Source organism: Homo sapiens, chromosome 16 (genome assembly GCF_000001405.40).
Source record: "Homo sapiens chromosome 16, GRCh38.p14 Primary Assembly".
Lineage (NCBI taxonomy): Eukaryota > Metazoa > Chordata > Mammalia > Primates > Hominidae > Homo > Homo sapiens.
Genome location: NC_000016.10, coordinates 11046873 through 11059788, shown reverse-complemented (window position 1 = coordinate 11059788; position 12916 = coordinate 11046873). Strand labels below are relative to the sequence as shown.

General features: G+C 47.5%; 1 protein-coding gene across 40 annotated transcripts in view, besides 3 other annotated features; it reads right to left on the bottom strand.

Annotated features, from left to right (window-relative positions):
- CLEC16A (C-type lectin domain containing 16A) overlaps positions 1–12916 on the bottom strand; it is a 237623-nt gene that overhangs the window by 122398 nt on the left and 102309 nt on the right. For 33 of the 40 annotated variants that reach the window (NM_015226.3, XM_005255214.3, XM_005255211.3 and 30 more), the window contains 2 exons: positions 12447–12497; positions 8148–8276 (listed from right to left, as the gene is read on the bottom strand). In NM_015226.3, the coding sequence (NP_056041.1) occupies positions 8148–8276; positions 12447–12497 (180 nt within the window). Of the gene's footprint in view, positions 1–7064; positions 7150–8147; positions 8277–12446; positions 12498–12916 lie in introns of those variants that run through there. The other 7 variants (XM_011522434.3, XM_047433847.1, XM_047433850.1 and 4 more) reach the window with 2 other exon arrangements.
- Positions 7141–7290: an enhancer, noted in NCBI's record as "active region_10407". NCBI's record gives its function as "activates an Ori minimal core promoter by ATAC-STARR-seq in GM12878 lymphoblastoid cells {active_cell/tissue: GM12878}" and the evidence as "EXISTENCE:reporter gene assay evidence [ECO:0000049][PMID:35858748]".
- Positions 8303–8880: an enhancer, noted in NCBI's record as "H3K4me1 hESC enhancer chr16:11144766-11145343 (GRCh37/hg19 assembly coordinates)". NCBI's record gives its function as "activates a minimal SCP1, AML or CMV promoter by ChIP-STARR-seq in primed H9 embryonic stem cells {active_cell/tissue: H9 hESC(primed)}" and the evidence as "EXISTENCE:reporter gene assay evidence [ECO:0000049][PMID:30033119]".
- Positions 8881–9457: an enhancer, noted in NCBI's record as "H3K27ac-H3K4me1 hESC enhancer chr16:11144189-11144765 (GRCh37/hg19 assembly coordinates)". NCBI's record gives its function as "activates a minimal SCP1, AML or CMV promoter by ChIP-STARR-seq in primed H9 embryonic stem cells {active_cell/tissue: H9 hESC(primed)}" and the evidence as "EXISTENCE:reporter gene assay evidence [ECO:0000049][PMID:30033119]".

The window sequence follows — 12916 nt, the reverse complement described above, 5'->3', positions numbered from 1 at the left end:
CTGCTAGGAGGTTCTGAGATAACGCAGGAGGGAAAGCAGCCAGCACAGTGGGGTTGGGGGGACAAACCACTGTCACCACTAGGGAGCTGCAAAGGCGAATCCCAGTGCGCCTTTGGGTCTTCTTGTTTATGGCTCTGAAGGCTGCAGTCTGGACCTAGGTGAGGGGAGGTGCCCTCTATACAGCAGTGTGCCTCCCAAAACTAGAAAGGGGCCAAATTACTGTCTGCAAAGAGGTGCACTCACACTGCCTCCTCATACCCCAGGCAATGAGGAGCTGGTCAGCCTGCTTACACCCAGTGCTGCCTTGCGCCCTAACCAGTGGGAGACCTTGGAGCAACTTCCTAATGTTGGAACTGGAAGAGCAATCCTATCTCCTGGCCCTATGCTAAGGTAGTGCAGTCCTCTGTAAACCAGAAAGCACTGGAGAAAGATCAGCTCTTAAGTTATAATGATGATGATGGTGGTGGTAGCATTCGTATCTGATTGTCAACAGTTTTTAAAAGTACAGTCTTCATAAAGACATCTCTAACAATTGGGAGAAAAAGAAGTGTAGTTCCATTAAAAAATTCAAAAGAACTTCTATTTTTTAAGCACTTACGGGGTGGCAGGAACTGTGGGCACCTTATTGTAACTTGAAGATTTTATGGAGGAAGAAACAGAGCTGAGAGGGGCAGAGTTATTTCAGCTCACACACCTGCTAAGTGGCTGAGCTGGGTGTGAACTCAGGAATGTATGACATGTGTGTCACTTAACCAAGTGCACCAGGAAACTTAAACATCCATGGCAGTCCAAGTACAGAAAGCCCAAGACGTGGGTGGTCACTTGAAATATTTGGCAGCTTGAGCTCTCAAATAAGGAGTCATGACCATGAGGATGAGAAAGAAAGGAAACGGCCCATCACAGCCAGGTCCAAGTCAAGGAGACGCTCATTTCTGTGCCCAAACGCCTGTTCCTCTTGGGGTTTTGAAGGCAAATAACTCATGCAGGACCAGAGCAGGTGGGTAAGAAAACAGAAACGTGTGGCTTTCTGCAGCCCACCACTCTGAAAAACTGTAACCTTTCAATAAATACTTTAAAAGTTCAGAATTTGGCTCCCAATATAGGCCAATATCTGCTTTTGCCTTGCAAACAACACATGGATAATAACAATCATCATCATAAATATAAAATAGAATATAATACACATACAGTCAGCTCTCTGTATCCATGGGTTCCATATCTGTGGATTCAACCAACTGTAGATCAAAAATATTAAAAAAAAAAAGGGTTGCATCTGTACTCAACTTGTACAGACTTTTTTCCTTATTATTCCCTAATCAATACAGTATAACAAACTATTTACATAGCATTTACATTGTACTCAGTATCATAAGTAATCTAGAGACGATTTAAAGTCTACAGGAGGATGTGCATAGGTTATATGCAAACACTACGCCGTTTATATAAGGGACTTGAGCATCTGTGGATTTTGGTATCCTTGGGGGAGCCCTAGAACCAATTCCCCATGGATACCGAGGGATGACTGTATAATAAAATCTCTCAATGTTTTTCCTGGTTCCTGCCCCAACTCCTAAGAGAAGGAAGGACACATGAGAAGCCATGTCCATGAATCTGAGGCGGGCCGATTCCCACAGGGCGGGGAGCTCCACTCGAGGCAAAACCTGGGCTCCCATGGGGGTAGGGGGGTTATAAGGGCCTGGTAGGCACATTGGGCAGCCCCACAACTCTGTAAATTCACAAAAGAAAGCTAAAATATGAGCATAAGAGCCATAAAATTCACCCCACCACACCCAAAACAATAAGCACTCTCTTGATTCCCCATGGCCTGCCGCATACTATGCCAGCTGTACGGGGTTGTCTCATCTAAGCTTTTAATGACTCTGCATGGTTCCTATTTTACAGATGGGGAAACCAAAGCTGAGCAATGACAGGCAGCCTGCCCAAGGTCAGTTAGTGAATAACTAGATTCCAAGCTCTGTGTTCTTCCAACCACACTCCTTGACCTCCAAAAGATTTAAGGCTTGGGACCCAGGGTTTTATTGAGCGCTTTTCTTTGCTAAATAAAGACGCAAATTTAAAAGTATTATTAAAAAGGAAAAATAAATTATTATTCTTTCAGATTCTTCCATAGAATATCAGGAAGGACTGACCCAGGAAGAACAGGTTAGATTTTGAAAAGGATGACAGCTGACCAAGCTCAAATATAAAGAGATTGCTCCAGTTTCTTTGCTTCAATGAGTCTGGAAGCAAATTCTGGCAAACTCAATGTCACCGGGGAATCAGTCCAATGAGCAGGGGAAGGTGGGTGGCTCTGTAGTCAGACACACTGTGGCTCAAGCTGGGGCTTGGTAATCACGTGACGTGCCCAAGCCCAGGCTTGTGTTCTGGAAATGGGGCACCCACCGTGCAGGTACAACGGGATGGCACCGGTGATGTGCTGAGCCCACGAGCTGGCCTGGAACAAAGGCTCGGTTTTCACCCTCCTGCTTCCTTGCTGCATGTGCAAGCTGCCTAGTTTAGGCGACAGTCACTCAAGTTAGAAGCCCACTGAGGCCATGTAGCTGTGAAAGTCAGTCATTCTTAAAAGAGGGCCGAAGCAGTTTAATGTGGGCACAACCCATCGGGAAAGCAATTTGGCAATATGCAGAGGGTCATGAAAAAAACACATTCATACCCTTTGAACCAGAAATTCCGCTTCTGGGAACTTATCCTAAAGAAATAATTCAAAAGAAAGAAAAACACTGTATTCATGAAGCTGCTCATTATAGTTTAGTTGAAAATAATGTAATACTGGAAGCAACGAAAATGTCTACTTGCAAGAAAATGCCAGATGAACCTTTATGAGGCCATAAGAAATGAGACTTATTTAAACTGTGACAACATGAAAAACTTCTTGTGCTACGACGAAAAGAAAGAAAAAGAAGGGATGAAAGCAAGACCACAGTACACTCTTTTTACAGACAAAGATAGGAGGAGCACAAAAGATGTCTAAGTATTGTTTGTTTAGGGTGATGAAATCATGGGAAAGACTGTTCCCTTTACTTTTGAAACTGCATGAGATGTTATTGTATTTTCTTTAATGTATAATACACATCGAAAAAATAAAGCAAAATATTCTATTTCCTCAAGGCCAATAGTGATAAACACAAAAACTGCTTGTGGTTTTACAAAGGAACAGGGAAACAATGTGGGGACAAATAAAACCTCGTGCAAATATGGGTGTTTCATAACCGCTTCCAAGATGACTATATACAGATGGCTAGTGGCTTAAACTTGGATTTTGATATTCACCAAAAAATCCTATTCCTAACTCTCTTTTCTCTGGCATTAAGCTTTGGTAGATTTAGATCATGAAAGACCCTATTTCTTTCCCACCTTACATACTAGACTGCTCCATCTCTGTTCAGACAATGCTTCCTGAGCACTTACTGTCTGCCAGGCCCTGGGCTTGTCACTTCACAGCCACACTCGTCTACTCTGGGCAACAGCTGAGAGGCAAGACCCACGAGGGACCTGAGGTTCCGGGAGGGTGAGTGGCTCGCTCAAGCTCATGCAGCTGGAGTTGGGATTTGACCCGTGGTTGGTCTGACTGACACCACTGTTTTCCTTCTTCACTGCTTCTCTCAGGTCCCCCTACATGTGGGATGGATCCAGCCTAAGCCCAAAGTTCTGCTCCAATGTTCTCACTGGACCCCAACAGCTCCAGTGACCTTCATTTCAACATGAATTTCCCTTCTCAGCTGGCATGGCTCAGTGGACCCCTTGCTGTTTTGGTCTTATTTTATATTATTTGCTCATCATTCTTGTCTTGCATCTTACTCAGAGCCTGACACCTAGAATATGTTCAACAACTATGTTGAAAGAAAGAATAAGTGATGTGGTTTTTAAAATGCAAGAGAGGGCTGGGCATGGTGGCTCACGCCTGTAATCCCAGCACCATGGGAGGCCGAGGCAGGTGGATCACCTGAGTTCAGGAGTTTGGGAGCAGCCTGGCCAACAGACTGGGGAAACCCAGTCTCTACTAAAAATACAAAAAAAATTAAAAAATCAGCTGGACGTGGTGGCTCATGCTACTGTAGAGGCTGAGGCAGGAGAATCACTTGAACCTAGGAGGAGCAGGTTGCAGTGAGCCGAGATCATGCCACTGCACTCCAGCATGGGTGACAGACTGAGACTCGTCTCAAAAAAAAAAAAAAAAAAAAAAAAAAAAAAAGCAAGAGGGAAAACGGCGTTATCGTGAGATGCCTCCCCACGGCCTGCAAAGCGCTACCACCATCCTCTCCTGTAGCTGCGCTCCTGCCCCTCCCTCACTTAACTATGCTCCTTGAACATGCCACACTTGGTGGCATCTCAGGGACTGGATGTGTGCTGTTCCCTGTTTGGAAAGTGCCTCCTTTATCACTTTAACCTTCCTGGCTCCTCCTCATGCTCCAGGTTTCAGCTCAGATGTCAACTCTGCAGAGAAGCTCTTCCGATCACTCTATCTGCAGGAGGAGCGCTCCTCAGCCCCTGGCTATGGCATGCTGTTTCTTTCCTCCAGAGCTCTGACTGTGAGTTGATACCCAACCTGCTATTCTCTTACTTGTTAATAAACTTTACCTCACTAGGTAAAAAGAGCGGTCCAGAAGGCAGGGATGTGTGCTCACTCATTTCTTCACCCCCAAGGCTAACACAGTATTTGGCACATAGCAAGAATCTAGCAGCTCTTTGATGAATCTATGAATATTTAGGAATGATTTGCCAGGAGAATTGTTTGAACCTCTTTGACAAGTCCTTAAGGAAAATAAAGGATGGAGTTTCTAAAAAGGATCAGCCTCCTTTAAAAAGTCTACTTGGTGGAAAAAAAAAAAAAAAAAGAAAGAAAACCTTTGAATCCAAAGGGGTAGCTTGGAATGTTCTTTGGATACAAGCAAAAAACTTGAAACGAACCACATAAGCCCTCAATTGCTTGCTAAACCATGTAACTTCCTTTAGCTCAGATTCAAAGCACATTGGTGTGTTCTGATTTCTGAAGTGGGCTTGAAGAGCTAAGCTTCTGGATGATTCTAGATGGCTACCTTGCAACAGGAACCGTAGTGAGATGAGTGGCCAAAGCCACCCTTCAGAAAGAAATTATTAAAGTCACAAAGGAAGCTTTTCTAAAGTGGATGCCTTGGCTTTGAGGTAGCCTGGCCTCTTTTATATCATTCTGCTACCCAGGGACCCTGGGAGGACTTGAGAGTTGCTTTTGGAAACTTGTCAGACAGGCAAAGAGACTCTAGAGAAGCTGAGATATTCTCTATCTGTGCTTCAGCCAGCCACTCGGGTTGTGCATCCTATCCAGGACAAGGGAGGTGGGCAGCACAGCCCTGGGAACCTGCAACTCTGTGACATGTGAGGGGCAAAAAGACTATCATCGAGACCTGCCATTGGCTTGCTGCCGAGTCCTCACGATAACTCTGGAAAGGCAGGCACATTTTACTTGACAGATGGAGACAGCAGCTCAGAGTAGACAAGAAGCAACCTCCCTTCTGCCACATGCCTGACAAACTGGCCCCTGCATTTCTCCCATCTCTCGCCTGTGGATCAGGACCATCTGCCCCAGCCCAGCAGGGCATGAGGTCATGAAACTGTGTTAAGAGGTGACAGCCAAGGTTCTCAAGGGGCTCCAAGGCTCCCGTGATCTGGCTCCTGCCAGCACCCCCAGCCTCATCACATCCTCCTGTGGGCTCCAGCTGCAATCACTGCCGTGTTGGTGCCAGAATGTGCCACCTGTCTCTGGGCCTATGCCTCCCTATCTGATGCCTGTCCCACTTCCTGCTCCAGGTGGGATTAGTGACCTGACCTAATGCTGCTTGAATAATGGCCTGAGCCACATGACCTGCCACTGTCTCTTCCCACTTTGACCTCTAAGGCTCTGATTTCTTCAGGACTGGGGCTGTGTTTTTGCTGTCCCAGTGTCCTGAGCAGAGCCAGCAGATCTCAAGAAGGCAGTGTGGGAAGCAGTGGATCAGAATGCCTAAGAGTCTAGGTTCTGGGGGCCACATTGCCTGGGCTGACTTGTGGCTCAGCTACTCACTAGCTGGGTGACCTTGAGCAAATCACCAGACCTCTCCATGCATCAATTTCTTCCCCTGTGGACAGGGCGTGGTGGTTCACATCTGTAATCCTAGCACTTTGAGAGGCCGAGGTGGGCGGATCGCTTGGGTCCAGGAGTTCAAGACCAGCCTGGGTAACATGGCAAAACCCCATTTCTACAAAAAATACAAAAATTAGCCGAGTGTGGTGGCACACACCTGTAATCCCAGCTACCCAGGAGGCTGAGGTGGGAGGATTGCTTGACCCCAGGGGGCAGAGTGTGTTGCAGTGAGCCAAGATGGCACCACTGCACTCCAACCTGGGTGACAGAGCAGGACCCTGTCTAAAAAAAAAAAAAATTCTTCCTCTGTAAAATGGGGATAATAATAGTGCCAATCTCCTAGGATGGTTATAGAATTTAATGAGGAAATTCACATAAAGAACTGATTTGAATTGATCTACTTCATAACAGAGGCTATGTGTTCATAGAAGTGGTAAGAAAAACCCTGATGAACTGTGAACCAAAAGAAGGTAGAGTGTGGGCTGGGTGTGGTGGTACATGTCTGTAATTTCAGCACTTTGGGAGGCCAAGGCAGGAGGATGGCTTGAGGCCAGGAGTTCAAGGCTAACTTGGGTAACTTAGCAAGACTTCATCTCTATAAAACATCTAAAAATTAGCTAGGTGTGGTAGCTTGTGCCTGTAGTTCCAGCTACCGACGCTGAGGTGGGAGGATGGCTGGAGCCCAGGAGTTTGAGGCTGCAGTGAGCTATGATCGCAACACTGCACTCCAGGATGGATCACAGCTCACTGCAGCCTCCAAAACAACAACAACAACAACAACAACAAAAAGGCAAAGTGGAATCCAGAGCAGCAGTGCTCAGCGTTCAGTCCTCTGGACCTTCTGGCTCAGGGGTGCGGGGGGATCTCCCAGGTGGGGCCTTCTTGGCACAGGATGCTGTAGCCCTGGCTGGGGGTGAGCACGTCAGCATCATGAAGCAACACATACACATCTGTCAGAACCAGTCCTCCAGTGAAAGCTGATGCCAGGACGTCCAGTGCAAACACTGCCACCCACAAACAGAATCGTGTGCCTGGCAGGGAGGACATGGAAGGAAGGCGTCAGTGGGCCGGACAGGGTGGGTCCTGCGGTGAGGCTTGTGGGTTTGGTCAGACAGTTGGAAATGTGGATTGACTCAAGACACATGGGTCCCACTTCCTCTGCACCCCCAGGCTTCCGAGGTAGAACCACCAGCTGCAGGGAGGAAGGTTCAGACTCCTCGTGTCTGAGGTGCAAATGACAGGTCATTCCTGTTTTGCAAAATCCAAAAGTGAAACACCTCTGTCACACACGAATTAACTCAGATGATAAAGGCTGACAAGGGGAGCTGTGTGCAATGAATTCCTCTGAACTATACACAAATACTCATGTCTCCAGTGAATGATTTTCTAGGAAAAGGTGATGGTGCTTTCTAAGAAAGAAACTCTGATCTTACCCGGGAGATAAAATACCATGAACACCCCTGAGGACACTGCTTCCTAGAGTACCTGCTTCGGAAAAAAAGGGCTGATAACGGAAGCACACACTGCAGCTGGTTCTGAGAACTAATCTTTTCACACATATCTGTCCTGCAGGCTGGTGAGATTCACATTTAATTTGACTGTGTCCCAAGAGCAGGTAGATGCCTTAACATCGCACTATCTCTGGGGGTCCTGAGACCGCTGGGCTACGATTTCACACCAACCTCACCTGCACTGGATGTACCGTGCTCACCCCCGATGGTTCACAGAAAACTGGCCCCATTGCCTTACACTCCTGAGCTCAGGGCTTGTCTGTCTGCACTGGTGAAGGCTACCTCTCTGCAGCCAACACTGGGTGCCAGATGCAACGGAATGCCAAACCCTACTTCCCAAAGGGTAAAAACATGCCTTGGAAAGTCATGCCTGGGGGCAAATGGGTACTCTCTATCCACTGTCTAAGCTGTGTTGAGGGCAGGCTCTTGACTTTGACAAAGAAGCCCTTTCCTCCCTGGTCTGGGAGTGGTTCTGGAGAACAGTGGCCCAGGAGATGACAGGTCCTGTGCTCACTCACCCGCCGGGTCTTCTCCACATCGCCACACGGCAGCCGCTTCACGAAGTCAATGCCCGTCAGTGGCGTGCCTGTTGGGGGCAGCAGGATGGAGGCGTCCATCATGAGATATTCCACGTTCATGGGCTTCATCTAGAAGAGACATTACAGGAAACCTCAAAGCAGATTCCTTACTTGGAAGGAGGAAGGGGCCGGGGGAGGTTGCACAGGCCCCTCGCCTTCAACCGCATTTAGTAAATGTAAATGAGTGATCTAAATCCTGGATTTAGATTGAAGTAAAGCACAGAGGCAGCCAGATAAGGGAGCAATATGCCTTTTGGTTTTCTAAATTGCAGATTTTTCCTTTAATTGAAGCAGCAGCTCAGACTCTTGAGAAGTTGCATCCTTGCTGTGAAAAGCTTGCTCCTCTTCGCATTCTCTCTCCACCTCAGCAGGGACAGGGATTCTCAGCAGGAGGCCAGGTATGCTTTATCCCTGTGGGTGCAAGCCCGTCTGCCACCTGCTTCCTCCTCTCTGTCCTTCCAGTGATGATAACAGCTATGGCGATGGCAGCTTCCGTTTAACGAGAGCTGATTCCGCTGCAAGCTGTGACCTAAGGGCTTTTGAGGAGCTGCTTCCCACTTTGCTGATGAGGGAACACAGTCTCAGAGAAGCAGAAAAATGGATCCAAGGTCGCTCAGCTGGTGGGTGGCAGAGCCAAGACATGAGCCCAGGCCTGTCTTGCTCCAGGGCCTCTGTGATTCCCACCCTAGGACCAATGTTTCCCCTTCCTTCCTTGTCCCCTTCACATCTTACCTGGGATAATATAACACAATCATTATTGGAGCATCTACTAAGTGCCAGGCACGTGCTGGGATCACCTCCTGCTGGACGGCAGGTGCTGGTGGGCCCATCATAAAAGGGACACTGAGCTCAGAGGAGGAAAGGCGCATGCCCACGGCCACTGGGCCAGAGCTGACGGCCTCTTTCCACACCACCTCTGCGAAGCCTTCTTTGAGGACTAAGACACAGGGTGACATCCCCTCCCTGCCACCTCTCCCAGATCTCTGCTGCATCAGTAGTAGTAATCAATGCACACGTGTTGTTGAACACTAACATTTCATTTCCCTGGCTTCACAGACGAAGGGTAAGCTTTCTGCAGAATTCATTTTACTCTTTCAAACATCACAAGCTTTCCTTGTGTCTTCTCTTTTCAGAAAGTGGGCTTCAAACATACCACTTTCCCCCTCCTGCTAGGTAAAGCTGACTACATAGGGCAGGGATGTAGCGAGGGCTCAGTGGCCCAGATACCTGGTGCTATGGTTTGAACGTGTCCCCCATAGTTCATGTGTTGGAAACTTAATCCCCAGTGTGACAGTGCTGAGAGGTAGGGCCTAACAAGACGGGATTGGGTCTCATGAATGGAGTAATGTTGTTATTGCAGGTGTGGCTCAATGATGGTGAGAGTGACTTTGTTATAAGAGTGAGTTCTGTTCCCTCTTGCTCTGTCTTGCCCTTTCGCATTCTACCATGGGATGATGTGGCAAGAAGGCCGTCGCCAAATGCTGGCACCTGATATTGGACTTCCCAGCCTCTAGAACTGTAAGAAATTTCTTTTTTTTATAAATTAAGTCTGTGGTATTCTGTTATAGCTGCAGAAAACATACTGAGACACCCGGTGAATGGGCCAGAGGGCCAAGGAGCCACTTGGTGCATGCTGCTTGCCTTCTTCTTTTGGACACTTTAAGTACTTTCCTCCAGAAGCCTGAGGTCCCCCACTCCAAATCCTCTAACCCCGCAGGGGTGGCAGTTCCTGCCTCACTCATTCACTTGCAGCTCCCTTCCCCTCTACTCCTGCTGCCCCCTACAACCTTCCCAGTGAACCCCTCAGGCCTGCTGGGGGCAGAGCTAGGCCATCACCTCACTGAACCTTTTGCATTAAACCAGAGGCAATAAGGGAAATGAAGGAAAGGTCACAAGTCATGGTCTGACTTTGGTACAGCAGCTGGCCTTGGAGGGCCTGTCCCCACCCCCTTCCACTCAGAAGCTGCATTCCTGAAGGCTGAGGACTGATTTTCAGATACAGAGCAAGGGCGTGGCACCTTTGTATTTCTCTGGAATGCCAGGCATTGTATAGGACACACAATACATGTTTGATTAAAACAAACAAACAAACAAACAAACAAAAAAACCTGGGAAGCTCCCCATGGTGGGAGGGGGAGGAAGTATTTGTTGTGTATAGACCCATGAGTATTTGTTGTTGTGTATGGACCCATGAGGCCTCTTGTTGGCTATTTCATATACAGCCTGGGTGGCTATGAGGTAGGGATCCCCCACCTTACGGATTTAAAAAAAAAAATTGCCAGGTGCGGTGGCTCACGCCTGTAATTCCACCACTTTGGGAGGCCAAGGCGGGCGGATCACGAGGTCAGGGGTTTGAGACCAGCCTGGCCAGCATGGTGAAACCCCGTCTCTACTAAAAATACAAAAATTAGCTGGGCGTAGTAGTGGGCGCCTGTAATCCCAGCTACTCGGGAGGCTGAGGCAGGAGAATTGCTTGAACCCAAGAGGCAGAGGTTGCAGTGAGCCGAGAACGCACTACTTGCACTCCAGCCTGGGCGACAGAGCAAAACTCTGTTCGAAAAAAAAAAAGAAAAAAATCAAGGCTCAGAATTTCAGCAATGCACTCAAGGTTGCATTGTCAAAAGCAGACACTGAGCAGGGGTTTAAGAGCTCAAGCTTTCCCACATGGTCAAGTGCCATAGAAGCCTGACATTTCCAAACAGGAAACCAAACTGTAGGAAATGACATTGCAGGGGGATGTCTCGGGGGTAAGAGGAAATAACAAATGACAACTGAATCCCTTCCACTCTAATGAATGGTCTGAAGGGTGGAAGACTGAGCCTCTCTCGAAGGGGCTGGAGGAATGATGAGGGGCTGTAGATGAGCAGCCCACGGGGGCCTGGCACAGGGTGCTGCTGGGGTGTTTCTGGAGATGACTTATGCCAATTTACACCTTTCCCCTGAAAAGGCTCCACGGCAGCCTCAGACATGCAGTGACAAAGGACGTGGTGAGGGCCCAGCTGTCCCGATTCCTAGGGAATGGGCTGCGAAGCCAAGGAGCCAATTAGTGCACGCTGCCTTTTTCTTTTTGACACTTAAAACACTTAGGTTTATTATAAACTTCCCAAATCACACATGCTTTGGTGGGTAATATCCACAAGAAGGATCACTTATCACGTACTTATGGAGTACCTAGCCAAGGGCAGGTGCTGGGATAACAGAGACAAACGCGCAAAGCAGAGAAAGCTGGGATCTTCTGAACCTATGGCTTCCCGCGATTCTGCCTGCGGGAGGAGGAAGGAAGCCCATGTGCTGGCACTACAGACTGGAGGGAGAGCTGCATGCTGAAACATTCCAGTGGAGCAGCAAACAGGGAGGCAGGGACATAATACATGGAGAAGCACGGGGGATGCGGGGCTGGGCTGTCCTCCTCTAGAAGCGTGGCTCTGCCACTCACCGGCCGGGCAGACTTGGGTACATCACTAGACCTCTCTGACTCAGTTTCCTCATTAGCAAGTGATATGGTTTGGCTCTGTGTCCTCACCCAAATCGCACCTTGAATGGTGAGACACATGAGAATCCCCACGTGTCAAGGGCAGAACCATGTGCCGGTAACTGAATCATGGGAGCAGTTTCCCTTATACTGTTCTCATGATAGTGAGTAAGTTCTCATGAAATCTGATGGTTTTCTAAGCATCTGGCATCTTTTCTCCTTGCACTAATTCTCTCTCCTGTCACCCTGTGAAGAGGTGCCTTCCACCATGATCGTAAGTTTCCTGAGGCCTCTCCGGCAATGTGGAACTGTGAGTCAATTAAACCTCTTTTCTTTATAAATTACCCAGTCTTGGGTATTTCTGCGTAGCAGTATGAGAAGAGACTAATTCAGCAAGAAAGGGACAATGGCAGTAGCTATTACCGTTGGTTGGTGTGAGGATGAAGAGATATAATCTGTACAGCATGCTATATACATCCAGCACAGAGTAAGTCCTCAATAAAATGATACTGTCCCCAAAATTACTATTCATAGCAGAGAATCATCCTGATTCATCGGACACCTCCCATGTTAGAGGGAGAGAATATAGTCTGAAATTTTAACAGTGGTGGGGATCACAAGACACCATTCTAAATCTGCTTCCCCATCAATCTGTGCTATTTGGTCACAAAGCCCTAAGTCAAAAAACTCCCTCTGGGATGGGCAGGGGGAGCTTGGCAGGGACACAGGCGCACACCAGCCCAAGTGTGTCCCAGCCCCTCACTTACTGTCATGCTCCTATACTCATCTTCAAACATGTCCAAAAAAATGTCTTCTCCCTAAAAAGAAAGGAAGGGAGGGAAGAGGAGATTATTCATATTTTTTTCCATAAACAACAGAGTATTATAAACTCTAGTTTGTGGCTTTAGAGGCCATCTGTTTCTCATTAGTGAGTTCTCGTAAATCACCAGGAAGTAAAATGCACACGTGAACACAAACACACACGCTCAAATGACAGACCAAATATCAAATTGCACTATTCAAAATTTTCTCCTTCCTTTTTAAGTATATGGAGTTAGAATTCTTCTGTCAAAGCAGTTAATTAAAAAAAAAACTACTATGTAGGATTAAAATATAGAAAAGGCTAATATTTCAAGTGTTTAACATTATCTATTTTGTCGAGAACGGCTGGAGAAATGGACAATCCTGTTTAAGTTACCACATTAAAGATACAAGGCTCCACACCTCTGGAAGGAAG